Genomic DNA, 20,084 nt, shown 5'->3' with positions numbered 1-20,084 from the left:
GAGATACCGAAGGTATTGTATGGAATTGTTGACTTGGTGTAATTAAAAACCAAAATGTCCTATTTTAAACCTAATGCAAAAGTAAGGAATGTAGTTTACAATGAACCTCCATGTGCTCATTACCTGGCTTTAACGATTGTCGCCTCAGGCCAAAATTATTCATGCTCCCTTCTTGTGATTATTTTGAAACCAGGCGCTGACATCATGTATTAGTTCATCCATAAGCATTTTAGTACCTATCTCTAAAAGGTAGACTCTTTGTAAAAAACAAATAACTACAATGTAGTATGACATGGCTAGGTGCAGTTTTAAGTTCAGGTTTTTATTGGTGAAGAGGAAGATGGATCAGGTGATTTCTGTTCTGTCCTAGCTTTCAGTGCCAATGGAAAAGATATCATTGTCGACTTTCCCCAGCAGTCTCACTGGACTGGGTTGCTATCAGAAATGGAGTTGGTACCCAGTATTCATCCTGGGGTTACGTGAGTTATTTTTATGGTTGCTAGATTTGCTTTGGGACGAATGGTTTTCTGTTGAATTAAGTTTAATAAATGACCTTTCTTAACTCAGTTGCTATTTTACAAATAGGTGTGATGGATGTCAGATGTTTCCTATCAATGGATCCAGATTCAAATGCAGAAACTGTGATGACTTTGATTTTTGTGAAACGTGTTTCAAGACCAAAAAACACAATACCAGGCATACATTTGGCAGAATAAATGAACCAGGTATGGCAGAATGTTTATATTCTCTCTTCCACCAAATATTAATGAAATACTTATTGTGGACCACAGTGTATTGGAATTTGTTATTTTAAGGTTCCTATGTATACAGTAATTCTGTAGAGTGAGTACAGTGAGACGGAAGTGACGGTCCTACCCGCTGATGACTGGCTGGCTTTTTAAAAAAATCAGGATGGGGTGTCGGGGAAGAATTAGAATAACTAGGCTTGTTTGCTTGTTTTTCCATAAAGAAACATTAAAAGAATCTCAAGAAACTAGTAAGTGTTTAGTTGCATGGCATGTGGAATTGGTTAGATGGAGAGTGAGTTTTTTAATTTATATACCTTTTATTGTATTTGTCATTGTGGCAAAATATATATAACTTAAAATTAGCCACTTAATCATTTTCTAAGTTTATAATTCAGGGTATTAAGTACCTTAAGTACAGTGTTGCACAACCATCACAACTGTCTCTTACCAAAACTTTTCACCACTCCGATCAGAAACTCTGTACCCATTAAGCAATTTAACTGCCCTACTTCCCCTTACCCCAACCCTGGTAACCTTGAATCTAACTTTGGTCTCTATGAATATGACCACTCCAGACATCTCATCTAGGTGAAACCATATAAGATTTATCCTTTTGTGTTTAGCGTAATGTATTTAAGCTTCATCCGTATTGTAGCATGTGTCAGAACGTCATCCTTTTTAATGGCTAAATAATATTCCACTGTATGCATATATCACTTTTTTTCTTTGTGAGACAGAGTCTCAGTCTGTCGCCCAGGCTGGACTGCAGTGGCACGATCTTGGCTCAGTGCAACCTCCGCCTCCTAGGTTCAAGCAATTCTCCTGTCTCAGCCTCCTGAGTAGCTGGGATTACAGGCCTGAGCCACCACGCTCAGCTAACTTTTCTATTTGTTTTTTAATTATTATTTTTTTGAGACAGAGTCTCACTCTGTGTATAAGGAGTGCATATGTTATATACATTTTTAGTTTTAGTAGTTACTGAAGATATTAATTATAACATCTATTTTTGACTCATTTAAATCTATTATTAGTATATTCTCCACCTAAACAATGCAAAAACCTTAGTTCTCTTTAAGATCATTTATCTTCATTCTGATTTATATGTTCTTAACATATTTTAATTTTTTTTTTTTTTGAGACGGAGTCTCACTCTGTTGCCCAGGCTGGAGTGCAGTGGCGCGATCCTGGCTCACTGTAACTGACACCTCCCGGGCTCAAGCAATTCTCCTGCATCAGCCTCCCGAGTAGCTGGGATTACAGGCTCCCACCACCATGCCTGGCTAATTTTTGTATTTTTAGTAGAGGTGAGATTTCACCATGTTGGCCAGGCTGCTCTTGAACTCCTGACCTCAGGTGATCCACCCACCTCAGTCTCCCAAAGTGCTGGGGTTACATGCATGAGCCACTGCATCCAGCCAAAATTTTATACATTTTATATAAATACATATCTAACAGAACTATAGAAGACATTCTTTTATGCACACAGAAAATGTTCATAAAATCCAGTCATATGCTAAGTGGGTCATATGCTCAAACAAAAGTTCCAAAAAATGTCAAAGGATCGGCCAGGCACAGTGGCTCATGCCTGTTTTTTTGTTTTGTTTTGTTTTGTTTTTTTTGAGACGGAGTCTCGCTCTGTCGCCCAGGCTGGAGTGCAGTGGCGCGTGATCTTGGCTCACTGCAAGCTCCGCTTCCCGGGTTCATGCCATTCTCCCGCTTCAGCCTCCCGAGTAGCTGCGACTACAGGCGCCCGCCACCACGCCCGGCTAATTTTTTGTATTTTTAGTAGAGATGGGGTTTCACCGTGTTAGCCAGGATGGTCTCGATCTCCTGACCTTGTGATCCACACCTGTAATCCCAGCACTTTTGGAGGCGAGGCGGGTGGATCACGAGGTCAGGAGATCGAGACCATCCTGGCTAACACGGTGAAACCCCGTCTGTACTAAAAATACAAAAAATTAGCCGGGCGTGGTGGCGGGCGCCTGTAGTCCCAGCTACTCGGGAGGCTGAAGCGGGAGAATGGCGTGAACCCAGGATGTGGAGCTTGCAGTGAGCCGAGATCGTGCCACTGCACTCCAGCCTGGGTGGCAGAGGGAGATTCTGTCTCAAAAAAAAAAAAAAAGGTCAAAGGATCAAACAATACATGTGGGGCATGTGATGATTTTATGTAGTCAATATTCATTTAGATTTTTCTGCATACTTTGTAATTTCTCTCCACTTTTTTCTTCCTCTTTAATTTTCCATCTATACTGTTTTTCTCCTGCCTGAAGATACCCCTTGATATTTTTAAAAATGTGTCTTTGTGGGTTACAAATTGTCTATTTTTGTATGTCTGAAAATGTCTTTATTTCTCCTTTATTTTTGAAAAGTCTTTTTGCTAGGTGTTTTCTTTCACCACTTTAAAAATAGTATTCCATTGCAATTTGGTTTATATTATTTCTCCTGAAGTTGGATGGAAGTCTAATTGTGGTTCATTTTATTTTTCCTTCGTCTGCTTTTCAGAGAGTCTTTTTGTTTTCATCTTGCACAGGTTTTACATGTGCATGGAGATGTTTATCTTTCTTGGGGTTGGTAGGGCTTCTGGGGCATGATATCTGTTGTCTGTTTTGGAAAATTCTGTCTTTCAGTATTTCTTCACATGTTGCCTCTGCTCTATTCTCTTTTCTATCTTTTTGGGGGGACTCTTCTTTCATTTGTGTTAGGCCTAACCTCTGTCCTGCAGATCTTTTACCTTCTTGTTATGTTTTCTAAACTTTTGTTCCTCAGTTCTTCATTCCAGATATTTTTACTTTCTCTTCAGCTGAGTTCAGTGTGTTCTAAACTTACTCATTAAGTTCTTAATTTTAATTATTCAATTTATCAGTTCTAGTCTTTCTGTTTTATTTTCAGTAGTTTTTGGTTCTCTGCTGAAATATTATCTTTTTGAACACAGTAAGCATAGTTATTATATTAAAGTCTGTGTCTTCTAACTCCAATATATGGAGCCTTTGTGGGTCTGTTTCTGTCCTATCATTTCTGGTAATTTTTAGTCATATTTTCTTGCCTTTTCATGTGTCATTATGTACTGGACATTGTATTTAAAAAGTTATTTCTTGACTCATTTTGAGGCTAAGATGTTATTGTTCTCCAAGGAATGGAGGAGAGAAGGTTGTTCTGTGAGCTACTTGGTAAAGGTTAGTGACTATCTGGGCTTACCTTAATCAGCATTCATTGATTGAGATGATTTTATGCTGAGTTGCAATCTGTTGGAAAAAAAAAAAGGGAAACCCAAAAACCCTTCATAGTTCACTCTGACTTTTGGGGTATTTCCTGTTGGGGTTCCAAGTGTGGGTTGTATTTCTGTAGCATCCTCAGCCTTCCTGGTCTTTCTGGACCCCATTCCTTTCCCTTCCCTTCACGAGGCTGTCAAAATGCTATGTGTCGTCTCAGGGACTTTGCTTGGAACCTGGTGATGCCATCAGGGAACAGCAGCCTCTGATCCGTGGTGTGCGTCATCTTGACACCTCCATTCGCCTCGGGTCTTCCTGCGGTTCTGACCTTGTAATTCTTTATTTTCTCCTGAATTCTGATAGTTCGAAGAGAATTTATTTATTTTTGAGTGTTTTGTCTGGCTTTACTAGTTGTCTTTGATGGGGAATGCCAGTTGAATTCCAGATTTGCCATTAATGGAAGTGGAAGCACTTTACAATTTACTTTTTGCCTTGTATTTATAAAAGCATTTTTAATAAGAATGGTTTTTGTGAGTGCTGTTATTGAACTTTTCCCACAGCTTATTTTGTTTTCTTTGGAAATATATTAATCTGCTGTTGTTCCCTGGGAGGTTTTAGTAGAATAAATCATAGCATTATGTGGACTTCATCTCATAAATTGGTGTAACTATATCTTGACTAGGGAAACCATTTGTGGCATTTATTAACTCCTTTCAGTTTGAAACTTTCTATTTTTCTTTAAGAAGCTCCTTACTATGTAATATTCTTGATCATGATGTTTCTCCCCAGTTCAGCAAGGGTTAATTCTCTTTTTGACTATCACGAAATAGGTCAGTCTGCGGTATTTTGTGGCCGTTCTGGAAAACAGCTGAAGCGTTGCCACAGCAGCCAGCCAGGCATGCTGCTGGACAGCTGGTCCCGCATGGTGAAGAGCCTGAATGTGTCGTCCTCCGTGAACCAGGCATCCCGTCTCATTGACGGCAGCGAGCCCTGCTGGCAGTCATCGGGGTCGCAAGGAAAGGTAGCATCTAATAGGGCACAGCAGCGGGCACTTTCACACCGATGGTTTTGCCTTGTACATTTTCAAAATGAACTTTGAGCAGCCTGCAAAGTTTTGCTGATAGCACCTGTCAGTACTCACGTTATGTTTTAATTTATAAGTTATTTCAAAGTTAGAGTTATATACCATCCAATTTTATTGTCAGAGATTTTAAACAATACGAGTAATAGATTTTATCTAACTGACCACTTGATAGAGGATGTGGTCAGGCTTTTTTTCCTCCTCTCCTGCATAGAATGTATGAATTCAGATTTGCTTCTGGTTAGAAGTTTTTCTAGTATAGTCTAGCAAATTTGTGTTGCACATTGGAGTGCTGTTGTGATTACACCAACGCGTGGAGGCACCTCGTGGGCACACAGGTCAGACTTTAGGACAGGGCCTTTCTCCATCTCGACTGTAGTGTTTTCTGTCACTCACTTGGTGGGTAAAAGGACCACCCTAGGCCAGGAGTATATAGATACATGGTTTCTGAGTCTTAGAGTGAGACTTTTCTCTAACAATCAAAGAATGGCGTAGAATATTCTTGTTGCTGCCAGGTTGAGGGAAAATTCTCTCTCATGCTACATTTTATATTGAAAAAATCTCATGTAGATTCAAGCTTCAACGATACTATTGTAGTAGCTAAAATATAGCTGAATTTTGCTAACTGAGAATGTGGTTTTTTTGTTTTTCTAAAGCACTGGATTCGTTTGGAGATTTTCCCAGATGTTCTTGTTCATAGATTAAAAATGATCGTAGATCCTGCTGACAGTAGCTACATGCCGTCCCTGGTTGTAGTGTCAGGTAATTCAGTTAGTTTACCTAAAAAGAAGTACCTTCTATAATAAAGACGCCTTTGTTTGATTCTTTACCCATTTTTTCCTAGGTGGAAATTCCCTGAATAACCTTATTGAACTAAAGACAATCAATATTAACCCTTCTGACACCACAGTGCCCCTTCTGAATGACTGCACAGAGGTAAGTAGCTATGCTAGTGTTCCATTTGGATGATTTACAGATGACAAGGGAGGTGACTTGGCCATTTCTATACTAGCATTGAGCCCAGTTTTTCCCCGTTTAAATAATTGGTTCTTTCTGTTTTAAATTTTGACACTTTAAAAGATACAACTTATTTTGTACAACTGAATTTGCTGCTTATCAGTTCAGCTTGAAAAGGAAACAAATTTCATTCTCACTCTCTTTGGTAGCAGAGGTATACTTGGTAACTGCTCCTAGCAAAAGTTTTCATCAGGCATTTTAGGTTGCTGATTGCATCTGAACACTTCGGTTTTCATTAAATATCTCAGTTTCTGGTGGTTTTCCTGACCATATATGTGACGCTGAAGTTGCTTTTTTGTCGTCACACCTGTTGGCATCAAGTGCTGAACTTGTCACGGAGTGGCAATTTTTTGGTTAATAAGGCAGCTTTCAAAATGAGTCTAAGTTTATCTCTGGAAAAGTTTGAAAGAATCAGTGAAGGTTCTTTTAAACAGTACCCACATACTACAGATCAGCAATTATCTCTCTCTCTCAAATTTTTAGTAAACCTTTCCACATAGGATGTCAGCATGATTTTTAATACATTAAATATATGTAAAATAAGACAAATTAAGATACTTTTGTTGGCCGGGCGCGGTGGCTCACGCCTGTAATCCCAGCACTCTGGGAGGCTGAGGCGGGCAGATCACGAGCTCAGGAGATCGAGACCATCCTGGCTAACACAGTTAAACCCCGTCTCTACTAAAAAAAAAAAAAAAAAAAAAAAAATTAGCCGGGCGTAGTGGCAGGCACCTGTAGTCCCAGCTACTTGGGAGGCTGAGGCGGGAGAATGGCATGAACCCGGGAGGCGGAGCTTACAGTGAGCCGAGATCGTGCCACTGCACTCCAGCCTGGGCGACAGAGCCAGACTCTTGTCTCAAAAAAAAAAAAAAGAAAGAAAGAAAAAAAAAGATATTTTTGTACTATGTATACTGTTGTCTGGTGTAGACTAATTATAATGATAGCAGATAAAAATATCAAATAGTTGATTTTTGTATTCATTTAAAGTTTATAACTGATGAGTTTATTTTTTAATTATTAAATGTAGTTAACCATTCATTTTTTAAAAAAGTTTTATTTTAGTTTTAACCAAATAGTAATTTGTAATAATTTGTATTTATTTTTGGAGAACACTGTGATGTTTTGTTACATGTATACTTTGTGGAATGATCAAATCATGCTAAATAATGTATCCATCACCTCAAATATTTATCACTTTTTTGTGGTGAGAACATTTAAAATCCTCTCTTTTAGCTATTTTGAAATACGTAGTACATTCACAGTAGTTACCATTTATTCTGGAATGTCATGGAACTATTTCATAATACACTGATTCATTATAGCCAATACCAGTGGTGCTAATAAGTGAAGAAATTGGCAAACTATAAAAATGAAAGATAATATTGAATTTATCTGAAAAAATTAATCTTGAGTTTTAATGCATTTTACTGGTAACTTATTGCAATGTAACCGAATACAGCCTGTAGAGTGCCTTAGTTACATAGTTCAGAGGATGTTTTTACTTTAGCCAAACCAGAAACTAAGTAATTAAATCAACAATGGAGATTATCATTCGTAAAAGATATCTTTAATCCAAGAAATTTTCAATTCAAAACCATTCATCCTGTGATACTTAGTGTATGTCATGTACATGAGAAATACGAAGCATTGCAGGTAAATGGAAAACTCCTGACCTAACCTGCATGCCCCCAGCTGACCAAAGAACTAGACTGTACCATTCCTGTGGAGCCACTGCATCTTAAGCATGGCCTTTGCTGTACAAATAGTTTGTTATGGGAATTTTCTTTTCTTTTTTTTGAGACTGAGTCTCACTCTGTCGCCCAGGCTGGAGTGCAGTGGCAGATCTCAGCTTACCGCAACCACCACATCCTGGGTTCAAGTGATTCTCCTGCCGCAGCCTTCCGAGTAGCTGGGATTACAGGTGCCCACCACCTCACCCAGCTAATTTTTGTATTTTTAATAGAGACGGGGTTTTGTCATGTTGGCCAGGCTGGTCTCGAACTCCTGACCTCAGGTGATCTGCCCACCTTGGCCTCCCAAAGTGCTGGCATTTACAGGCATGAGGCACCGCACCCAGCCGGGTTTTTTCTAACATGTAAACAAAAATAGAAAGTATGCTGGAACCCTCACAAACCTGTCACCCAGCTTCAACATTTATCAACATTTTGCCAGTCATGTTTCACTTTCTCCCTCCCACCTTACTTCCCTGCCTCAGCAAGTCCTAGTCATGGTCTTATTTCAGGAGCACTTGCTTCAATATTCATCTCTGACAGGGCTTAACAAAATATAACCTTGGTACCATTATCACACCTCTAACAAGTACTCTTTTTTTTTTTTTTTAAGACGGAGTCTCACTCTGTCACCCAGGCTGGAGTGCAGTGGTGTGATCCCGGCTCACTGCAAGCTCTATCTCCCGGGTTCACTCCATTCTCCTGCCTCAGCCTCCCGAGTAGCTGGGACTATAGGCGCCTGCCACCATGCCTGGCTAATTTTGTTTTTGTATTTTTAGTAGAGACGGGGTTTCACCGTTAGCGAGGATGGTCTCGATCTCCTGACTTCGTGATCCACCTGCCTCGGCCTCCCAAAGTGCTGGGATTACAGGCGTGAGCCACCGTGCCCAGCCAATAATTACTCTTTAATGTCATATAATATTCAGTCAGTGTCCAGATTTTCCTAATTATCTTGTAAATGTCCTTTTGCAGTTTCTGATTCAGATGATGTTTGCATTCTACACTACACTTAAGTCACTCTTGGTTTTTTTTCTTGCTAAAGAAAAAAAAAACTGAGTAATTGTTTCCTGTAGCATTCTTCATATTCTCAACTTGGCTTTTGCATCCCTATGGTGGTGGTCAAGCTGTATTTCCTCTGAAATGGTAGATCTTGAGGTTTGAGCAGGTCGTTTAGGCAATAAAAAGTAATTGTTAGTGTGTGCTTCCAGACGCATCTCTCTTCGTTCACATGAAATACAGTGATGGAGGAATGTTGTCAGTACCACAGCAGGCATGCAGTCGGCCACATGGGGTGTGGGACATTTGCAGGACAAGTAGACCAACTCCACTAAATGCATGGCAAAGGCAGAACAGAGGAAGGTTGGGTCTTGCTTGTGTTCTGATTTGAATGAGGCAACAATAAAATGACATGACATAATCAGAAAAGTTTGATCACTGTAGCATATTGGGTGATATGGGAGTTATTGTTTGTGCTATGATAATAGCAATGCGGATATGTTTTTCAAAAAACTCCATAATTCTGGCCAGGCGCGGTGGCTCACTCCTGTAATCCCAGTACTTTGGGAAGCTGAGGCAGGTGGATCACCTGAGGTCAGAAGTTCAAGACCAGCCTAGCCAACATGGTGAAACCTTGTCTCTACTAAAAATACAAAAAATTAGCCGGGTGTGGTGGCAAGTGCCTGTGGTCTTAGGTACTCAGGAGGCTGAGGTTGGAGAATCGCTTGAACCCGGGAGGCAGGGGTTGCAATGAACCAAGATTGCACCACTGCACTCCAGCCTGGGCAACAAGCAAGATTCCATCTCAAAAAAAACAAAAAAACAAAAAAAAAAACCAGACCTCCTTAATTCAGTGATATATACTGAAGTTTTGAAACAGCATAATGCCTAGAATTTTTTAATGATAATCCATATCTGAACAAGATTGGTCACATGTTGGTAACTGTTGAGCTGGGTCATGGAGTCATGGAGTTCTTTGTACTATTTGTTCTGATTTGTGTATATTCAAATATGTTTTATGTTTTAAAAACGATGAAAGGTCTGTTACTACCTGACATTTAATATCTTCCTTAGTTAAAGCATCTTGGTTCAAGAAAGCTCTAAGACGGAAGAGTTTGCAGTCATTCAGTAAGGCTGTTATCCTATTTAAAAATTTTAGGAAGAAAATCAGTGAGTGTCTCATGCCTCAGGTAGACATCTTGATGAGTTGACCACTTCTTTTGAAGTAAACATTACTCAGATGTGGCTGCATTAACTTTGAGTAACTCAGTTGATATTTCCAGAACTGAAGTAAAGGAGCTCTAACCGTGTGTACATGTTCGTGTCTCACACATCCCGTTCTCCAGTTAGAGGATCTAATATGCTTGATTCTACAGAGTCTATAGATCATGGTTTTTGTGTCTAGTATCACAGGTATATTGAAATTGCTATAAAGCAGTGCAGGAGCTCAGGAATCGATTGTAAAATCCATGGTCTCATCCTGCTGGGACGGATCCGTGCAGAAGAGGAAGATTTGGCTGCAGTTCCTTTCTTAGCTTCGGATAATGAAGAGGAGGAGGATGAGAAAGGCAACAGCGGAAGGTGAGAACCATTTGTTACAGGTGCTCACTTACCTCCCGCTACATTCCTGGATCCTCACTTTCGAAAGGAAACATTTAATTAGAATGTGTCTCATACTGAGAGTCATTTTATGTCCACACGATTGGTAAATTACAGTTGTTTCCAAAAATTGTATTTTTTAAAAAATAAAGTGTTTAATGTAGAAACACATTATATTTAGAAAAATACCATTAAAAGAGGGAAATGAAAATGTTTAATATCTCTACCTAAAATATCACTGTGACTATTTTGGTATATATCTTTGTAGTTTTCCTTTTTTTCTGTTACTAAATTTATTGTCCTATGGAAGTTGTATGGTATATTTTAAAGCTCTTTTTGTTAAGTATTTTATCATTAACTTCAAAAAATGTATTTATTTTTTATTATGGTGAAATATATATATTGTTTACCATTTTAAGTGTACAGTTCAGTGGCATTAAGTACATTCATATTTTTGTGCAACCATCACTATTGTCCATCGCTAGAATTTCCATATGATTAGTCTTCAGTCCTGTAATTTTTGAGTGCAGTATTTCATCTTATGACTGTTCTCATTTACTCACTCAATTCCTTATTTTATCTGAGCACTGTGATGATGACTGTTGTTGTATTTATTCATTCAACATCTTTTGAATGCCTACTGTGGGCCATTCCCAGTTATGTGTACTGGGAACACTGTGATGAACATGCAAAATAAAACAAGACAAACACATGCATCAGTGTGCTATTAGGCCTTTGGTAAGAGGCAGGAAGAAGTGCATACAGCCTTGAGAGTCTGCATTGGAGCATTGATCTGTCAGGACAAGGAAAACTTCCCCCCAGGCCATACGTACAGAAGTCAGAATTACTGAAACAAAGTGGACAGGCAAGGGCGTTTCTGATAGGGAAGACAGCATACCAGAGGAGAATGATATCTGCGAAGTTTTTGCATGCTTGTGCATTTCCCAGGGCATGTATCTAGAACTTGCATTTGCAGGGGCTGCTCTAAGCCTTGTTTACCATCCCAGCAGCAAACAGTGGATAATAGTGGATAATAACAATGGAGGATAATCAGTGTCCTCATAGAAGTTGTATTTTCCTAGATAAATTGCTGAAAGTGAAATTGCTAAGTCAAAGGGTATGCAAAATAAATGGATATGTTGTTAACATTCCCAAGGCGCTTTGGATTGCTAGTGTGACCGGGGCCCTCCAGACAGGCACAGGAGGCAAGCCGCCAGTGCTGGCTGAACTCTGTTGACCAAGACACCCTGTGCTCTAAGTACTCTGCAGCGTGTGACATGAGGAGACAACAGAGCACTGCCCTGTGCCGCTGTTGAGCACGTTATATAGACAGAAGTGGGGGGTAGTAGTTCTGGTAATAAATCAGGTTATTCTAGGGCTCTGTGATCTTGGCTTTGGATTCTGTCCTGTTTTATTTCAGAAACTTTGTGTAGAAGTTGAAAAGAAAATAGTATCTATAACATTACCTTATCTAGAATATATGTTATACTATATGCTGTAGTTCAAACTGATTGCATCTGTAGATATTAATTAAATAGGGACAATACCAGTTCACTTAAATAAGGAAGTCATTGGGATTTTTAATAAAAGGATTATAGATTGTAGGGGTGGGTTGCCCCTACAATAGATTAGCATTTTCTTACTCAGTAGCTACTAAAATGAATTGGACAAATAAAATTATTATTTATTTATTTTTTGAGACGGAGTCTTGCTCCGTCACCTAGGCTGGAGTGCAGTGGTGCAATCTCGGCTCACTGCAAGCTCCGCTTCCTGGGTTCACGCCATTCTCCTGCCTCAGCCTCCTGAGTAGCTGGGACTACAGGTGCACGCCGCCATGCCCGGCTAATTTTTTTGTATTTTTAGTAGAGACGGGCTTTCACCGTGTTAGCCAGGATGATCTCGATCTCCTGACCTCGTAATCCGCCTGCCTCAGCCTCCCAAAGTGCTGGGATTATAGGCGTGAGCCACTGCGCCTGGCCATAAAATTATTAATACATATATTGTATATGTGGAATAACCAAAAATGTTTTGAGCTTTACTCATTGATCAGATTTTTGTGTAATTGAATATATTGTCGAAAGAAAAGCTAGATACTTGATTGTAATGGGTTTTGTTCTGGTAAGATCTTATTAATTAGCTAATAACTTCAGAATGAGTCAGTGGCCCAGGCAGTCTCCTCCTACAGGGCTGCCACCCAACTGGGATGTTCCCACACTGACCACGTACAGCTGGCCTCCACTCTGGCTGATTGATACTTACATGGTGCCAGACATTAAATATCTTGAATATCAGTCCTGGTTTCCCATACATACATGCATACATATATGTGTGTATATATATGTGTGTATGGAAAATATATATATATTTTGAGATAGGGTCTCACTCTGTTGCCCAGGCTGGATCGCAATGGTATGATCTCAGCTCACTGCAACCTCTGCCTCCCGGGCTCAAGTGATTCTCCCACCTCAGCCTCCCAAGTAGCTGGGATTACAGGTGTCTGCTACCACACCTGGCTAATTTTTTGTATTTTTTTTGTAGAAATGAGGTTTCACCGTGTTGCCCAGGCTGGTCTCCAACTCCTGGGCTCAAGGAATCTGCCCACCTTGGCCTCCCAAAGTGCTAGGATTACAGGTGTGAGCTACTGTGCCTGGTCCCCATACATATTTTTAAGTAAAAATGTATCACAAGATATTTCAATATTTTGTGCTTATGCTTGCTCACCTGTGCCTAGTATTGGATGAAAGAGTTTTCCACTTTTATTCCAAAACATGAAATTTTGAACCCTTAAAGTAAATATTTATTAGTATATAATGTGTGAAAAAAGTGATACCTGTCTGGAAGCCGTCTGGTGCCTTTGGGCATCTATCCTAGCTTATAAAAATAGAGCAAAAGCAAACACAAAGGTGAAAACCCCAAACACAGAAGCAGCAATTCCTTAGCACCTGGCATCAGACCATCAGCCAAGAAAATCTAACACTGTCCTGTGTACTCTTTTCAAGTTGCAAGAATTGGAGTGTTTTGGATGCTGTTGATTAAACTTCTAACCTGCTGGGTGTGGTGGCTCCCACCTGTAATCCCAGCACTTTAGGAGGCTGAGCAGGGAGGATCACTTGAGCCCAGGAGTTCAAGACCAGCCTTGACGATATAGTGAGACCCCGTCTCTACAAAAAAAAATGCAAAAATTAGCTGGGCATGATGGTGCAGGCCTATAGTGCCAGCTGTTCGGGAGGCTGAGGTGGAAGGATTGCTTGAGCCTGGGAGGTTGAAGCTACAGTGAACCGGGATTATGCCACTGTATTCCAGCCTGAGTGACAGAGCATGACCCTGTCTCAAAACAAACAAAAAATAAATAAACTCCTAACCTGTTGAGGGCAGGTCAGGAGATAGATGAGCAAGGTGGAAGGAGCAAGCCCTCTGGGAAGGACAGGAGACGAGGACTTTCAGCTTAGCTGGCCGATGATCAGGTTCCTCTGGCCGGTGTCCTGGGCAGAGGGTATAAAGGAAGAGAGAAGCATTTTACATTGGGACATGTGTCTGTGTTAAAGTAACTCCATGGTCATGTGGCCACATCCGTTTTATTCTTTCTGTGGGAAAATAATTGGCCAAACAGCTGTCTAGATTTGGGGATAGTGCTGCAAGGCCAGACCCAGCGTGGCTCCTGGGCAGGTTTCCTCAGTGTCTCTACAGTGCCATTTGTAGCAGCTGTGCGTCTGTTTCCATGGCTTGGAATGATTCCCACCCATGTTCACGTTGGTATTTAAGATGAAAGAGAAGGCCTGGTGTATCATCGTTTTCCACCAAAAATAAAGGCTGAAATTAAGTGCTAGTATTAAAAGGTGGCATGGTTGTATCTAGAAAATTTGACCCTCCAGAGGACTTACTCCTGTACATGCTTGAGGTTTTTTTCTATTAAAGCAAAATTTTAAGAGTTTCTGAAAGTAACCATAAAACTTTGAGTGCTTGAGGTTGCTTTTCTTTTTATTTTTTAAATGTTTTATGCTGAATAACCTCTCTTTTCTTTTTCTTTTTTTTTTCCGTTTGGTTAGCCTCATTAGAAAGAAGGCTGCTGGGCTGGAATCAGCAGCTACGATAAGAACCAAGGTGTTTGTGTGGGGCCTGAATGACAAGGACCAGCTGGGCGGGCTGAAAGGCTCCAAGGTACGGCCTGCTCCCTGGGACCCAGCAGGGTGGGGCACTCGGCAGCAGCCACACCTCGTGAAGTTTCTATAATAACTTTACTCTCTATATGTTGTATTGTTTCTTTACACGAACTAAAAGACATTATCAAATTACCCCTCAGAAGCGTCTCTCCTTGAAAAATTTCACTTTAGGTATAATTGTCTTATTGCGGTCTTGTAAACTAGAAAATGAACTTTTGAAAAGATTTGACAAGTGCATAAATGAAAATTATAGACTGTCAATAGGTGTATCTTGCCTTCCCTACAATAAACATTTTTGACTATCATGAACAAAATAATGTGTAAAAAGGCTGTAGTGGCCCACAGATGAGCAAATTGTTGTCTCTGTCCTCCAGGTGCTTCGCGCCTGAGATTCTTCAGGGTGAAGTAGCTTGCACAGAGAGAGAACGCTTTGCGAGCACAGAGAAACAAGCAGAATGCACATGTGTGCGCATACACACTTGCCTTATTCTCTGCAGGGCTTGTTGTGGGTGGAGAGCGCCATGATCTCATTCACCTTGTCAGTAAACCATGAAGCTTGCACGGGAAGCCGTGCCATAGCCTCTGTGTTCACAACGTCCTTCATCCCCTAGGTACTTGGATGAGAGGTTAATTTGTATTTTGAGTTGCTTAGGAGAAAAAGACCATATTTTGAAAAGAATAGGTGTAAGAAATGATGCATTTGAATTGGAGTTGAATTCAGCATTCCTTGTATTACTTAGTGTCTCCTGGCTGAGGAGCCACAAAGCAAATTCCTCTAAATTTTATTGCCCAGAGGCACTCTCTGTGTTCACGTGAGCTTATGCTTCCTGTTAGTATTCTGTGAGACATCACATCATACGTTTTCTTTATTGCCTGCCCTATTGAGAAACTGAGAAATAAAGTTAGAACTCATTCATTTGAACTCTTTCCTTTCAAGGTGCAATTAGTTTTTATCTGTATTGGAGCAGTCTTGAATTGCATTTGTGTTTCAGTGTACCTGAGCTTGGTTTGGGAAGTGGACAGTGGGCAGTGAGCTGTGAGTGTCTCAGCTGCGGGAATGCAGGGCTGTCCAGAGGTCCCTGAGGTGCAGGCCATTGGTGGGAGCCTATGACCTTGCTCACTGCCTTACATGGAGTTTTCACTTCAAGGACAGAGTCGGTGTTCCACGGTTGTGATGAAAATCCTTTCTTCCGCTGCAGTAGTGACTATTTCACCCAGGGAATCATAAAGGTTTTTTAGACAAAGGGCCCTAGGAATTTTAAATTACATCCATCTACAATGGGAAATTTAAGCATATGATTTCTTAGAGATGTCAGAGTCAGAATCAGAGAGTGAGCAGGACATGACTTGAAATAAGGCATAGTCTACAGGTGTGTGTTTTTATCTTTACATTATATGCATAGTCATCCCTCAGTATCCGTGGATTTGTTCCAGGACTTCCTGTGGATACCAAGATCTGTGGATGCTCAAGTCCCTGATATAAAACAGTGTAGTGTTTGCATATAACCTATGTACACCCTCCCAAATACTGTATATCATCTTCAGATTACTCAGAATACCTAATACAATGTAAATGGTATGTCAATAGTTGTTATATTACATTGTTTAGGGAATAATGGCAACAAAAATATCTGTACATATTTAGTACACGTGCAATAAAAAATATTTTCAATCCATGGGTGGTTGAATTCATGGACGTGGAACCTATGGATACAGAGGACCAACTGTATTTTATTTTTCACTTTCTACTATGGAACTGTTCAGATGTACCCACATAGAGTGAATAGCTTCATGAACCCTCATGTCCCTGGTACAGCTTCCATAGTTACCAGCAGCTGTCTACGTTTTTCTGTCTTTATCCTCCCATTCCCCCAACTCTGGTTTAAAGTCAATCACAGTGTATCATTTCATTCTTAAAATACTCCAGTGTGAATCTCTAAGGGATAACCAATGCCTTTGGTTAATGTAACCATACATATTAGTAGTACAGTCATGCATTACTTAATGATGGGGATATATTCTGAGAAAGTTTTGGTTGGGTGATTTTGTCATTGTTGGAAAATGATAGAGTGTACTTAACACAAAGGTAGATGGTGTAGCCTACTACACACTCAGGCTATATGGTATAGCCTGTTGCTTCTAGGCTACAACATGGAACTGTACTGAATATGGTAGGCAGTTGTAACTCAGTGGCATGTGTGTATTTAAACATCGAAAAGGTACGGTAAAAATACATTGTAAAAGATAAAACATGGAACACCTGCATAGGGCACTTACCATGAATAATGGAGTTTGCAGGACTGGAAGTTGCTCTGGGCGAGTCAGTGAGAGAGTGGTGAGTGAACGTGAAGGCCAGGACATCACTGCATGTTACTGTAGACTTTAGAAACACTATATGCTTAGGTGACTCTATGCAAAATATTTTTCTTTCTTTAATAATAAATTATTTGTAACTTTATGAACTTTTCACTTTTTAAAAAACTTTTTGACTCTTGTAATAATACTTAGCTTAAAACACAAACACAGCTCTGCACAAAATGTTTTCTTTACATTCTTATGCTGTAAGCTTTTTTCTATCTTTAACATTTATTCTTTTACTTTTTAACGTGTTTGTTAAAAACTAAGACCCAAACACATACATTAGCCTAGCTAGGATCATAGTGTTGCTCTCTTTCACCCCCACAAAGGAGCTAGCTGTCCTTTCCTGTGACAGCAGTGCCTTCTGGAATCCCTCCTGAAGCACCAGCCGCAGGCTTTTTACAGTTAGCTTAAAAAACAAAAAAGTAGAAGGAATACACTCTAAAAGAATGATAGAAAGTACAGGAGAGTGAATATATAGCCCAGTAGCAGTAGTCTGTTATCATGGTGAGGTATTAGGGATTGTTGATATGTAGCTGGCAGCACAGAGGCTTGTTGACACCAGCATCACCACAGACACATGAGGAATAGGTTGTGCTGTGACGTTGTCACGGCCAGGACACCACTAGGCAGTAAGGATTTTTCAGCTCCATTATAATCTACTGGGACTGCCATCGTATATGTAGCCTGTGGTTGAGTGAAATGTTACACAGTGCATAACTGTAATTCCTTGTATCATATAATAAGGTAACATAATTTTAAACATGCAAGTAAAATTTTCTTTTCTTTTTTTTTTGTTAAAAAAATTCTGTTGTAGATAAAGGTTCCTTCGTTCTCTGAGACACTGTCAGCTTTGAATGTGGTACAGGTGGCTGGTGGATCTAAAAGTTTGTTTGCAGGTATGATTATTCTAATCTTAAAAAATTTTTAAATTATGCTTGGCACCAAAAAACAAAAAAGTTTTTAATGTTGTGAAAAGAGAGTCCTCTCCTGGCTGTCGTTCCTTGCAGTGACTGTGGAAGGGAAGGTGTATGCCTGTGGAGAAGCCACGAATGGCCGGCTGGGGCTGGGCATTTCCAGCGGGACGGTGCCCATCCCACGGCAGATCACAGCTCTCAGCAGCTACGTGGTCAAGAAGGTGGCTGTTCACTCAGGTACAAGCCAAGCACCAGGAGGCCTGTGCGGGGCGGCCTTTGCTCCTGCTCCGTTGTTAACCAAAGCCCTAATTGGTGTCCTTACATTCTTTCTTAAGTTTTTACTTAGTAGGAATAAAAATTGGATAATGTAAATCTCTAGGTGGTCTAGAATTTAGTTATTGCTGCTAAATCAAGTTCTTTGCCTAAAAGTAGGCTGTTTTTCTGAGAAAGAGTCTATAACTTTCTTCAGATTCCCAAAACCATCTATGAACCCAAGTAATGAGAAAGATCCTTTAAAAGAAAATGAAACCACTCTTTCAGTGTAGGGAGTGTTTATTTTGGAGGCACCGTGCTAGGCCTCTGAGGAATGGAACTGAATTAGACACAAAGTTCTAATTCAGTTCATGCCTATGCTGAACGGGGCTCAGTGTAACTTGCATAACAGGAAATCCAAATGATGGTGGCTTAAGCAATATAGAGTTTTACTTTTCTCCTTTGTAAAAGTCCAGAGGTGGGGTCAGAGTCTGTCCAGCAGGGCTGTGTCTATGAGGAGTGCTGGTCCTTTGTGTCCACCTTTGTGGGAAGATGGTCTTAGACTAGCTCTCGCCCCCAGAGTCCAGGGCCAGGCCTGGCAGAAGAGGCAAGCACCACACAGTGTGCCCTCCTGCCCACGCAGCCCCCTCTCCAGAGCCCCTCGGAAGCCCCACTCATTTCAGTCACCATCTCCTGGGGGCAGAGGAGGCTGGGAATTAGCTGAGCACTTTAACATGGGGGTTCTGTTGGTAAGGAAGGGGGAGAATGAGGGTTGGGGGAAGAAGCAGGGTCTGCTGTGATGTTCTCAAAGCCCAGGAGTTGGCAGGAACTCACTGTATAGGAGTGGTCATGCCTTTAATCCTGAGGCAGGTTGTATGGACTTTGAGAATATTCCATGCTGGGGAAAGAGCATAAGCTGACGTGTTTTGGGAAGAGTGAATATATTGCATTAATCGCAAATGATTGAATAATTTCACTGTTGAGGTACAGTTCTCAAAAACTTAAATTGACACTATTTTTACATTTTGTCTAATCACAAATTATTTTTACTTTTTTCATCTAAATTTTGATTTTTCGTGTATTTAACATAATAGGAACCCCATTAATAATCAGTATTATTTTGCCTCTTTGCAAATTCTTTCTAGAGTTAAAATTTGTAGTTTAGTGAAAATTCACCTATTTGGCACATATGTCCCAGGAAGCTTTCCTGCTAACTCCGCTGTTGATCCTGTTGAGTTACTCATTTATTCAGCTCACGCTCATTGAGTGTGTGCTATATGCCAGGCAAAATAGGGAGCTAGCTATGCTGTGGGCTTTCTGTTCCCTGCCCTTTGGCAATCCGTGTGTCTGTGAATGTTGCAGGTGGCCGGCACGCGACGGCTTTAACTGTCGATGGAAAAGTGTTTTCGTGGGGCGAAGGTGACGATGGAAAACTTGGACACTTCAGCAGAATGTAAGGGTACTTTTTTTAGTCTCATTTGCTAATAAGAAACTGTTTCTGACTGATACTCTTGAGAATTATTTTGCAGAAAATTAGAATAGAATAGATTATAGAAATGGTTCTTAAACAAAATTTTTTTAACACGGTTGTTTGTGTTTTGGTCTCACCGGTTCTGCTTTAAGTTTTGATAGTTGATCTGTGGATCCTGTGTTGACTACATGTGGATCAGTATAGATGTCTTTTTTCCTTCATCTCTAAGAAGGGACAGATTGACTGTAGAGAGCTGATTTCATCTTGTTGTAGGAACTGTGACAAACCAAGGCTGATCGAGGCCCTGAAAACCAAGCGTATCCGGGATATCGCCTGTGGGAGCTCGCACAGCGCAGCCCTCACATCCAGCGGAGAACTGTACACCTGGGGCCTCGGCGAGTACGGCCGGCTGGGACATGGGGATAATACGACACAGCTAAAGCCCAAAATGGTGATTATACGCATTTTTGTTGCTTGCAGAAAGCTTACCATCTGAAGATGTCAAGAGAAAATAAGCTTCAAGTCTAGGAAAGTTCATAAAGATG

General features: G+C 40.5%; 1 protein-coding gene across 12 annotated transcripts in view; it reads left to right on the top strand.

Moving 5' to 3' along the window:
* HERC2 (HECT and RLD domain containing E3 ubiquitin protein ligase 2) overlaps positions 1–20,084 on the top strand; it is a 211,140-nt gene that overhangs the window by 125,240 nt on the left and 65,816 nt on the right. For 10 of the 12 annotated variants that reach the window (XM_006720727.4, XM_006720726.4, NM_004667.6 and 7 more), the window contains 11 exons: positions 371–479; positions 586–725; positions 4,789–4,979; positions 5,696–5,801; positions 5,884–5,975; positions 10,188–10,363; positions 14,428–14,539; positions 17,717–17,798; positions 17,910–18,053; positions 19,431–19,521; positions 19,813–19,990. In XM_006720727.4, the coding sequence (XP_006720790.1) occupies positions 371–479; positions 586–725; positions 4,789–4,979; positions 5,696–5,801; positions 5,884–5,975; positions 10,188–10,363; positions 14,428–14,539; positions 17,717–17,798; positions 17,910–18,053; positions 19,431–19,521; positions 19,813–19,990 (1,421 nt within the window). Of the gene's footprint in view, positions 1–370; positions 480–585; positions 726–4,788; positions 4,980–5,695; positions 5,802–5,883; positions 5,976–10,187; positions 10,364–14,427; positions 14,540–17,716; positions 17,799–17,878; positions 18,054–19,430; positions 19,522–19,812; positions 19,991–20,084 lie in introns of those variants that run through there. The other 2 variants (XM_047433208.1, XM_047433209.1) reach the window with 2 other exon arrangements.

The sequence above is a fragment of the Homo sapiens genome, chromosome 15, assembly GCF_000001405.40.
Source record: "Homo sapiens chromosome 15, GRCh38.p14 Primary Assembly".
NCBI lineage: Eukaryota > Metazoa > Chordata > Mammalia > Primates > Hominidae > Homo > Homo sapiens.
This window is presented reverse-complemented; position numbering and strand designations above follow the sequence as displayed.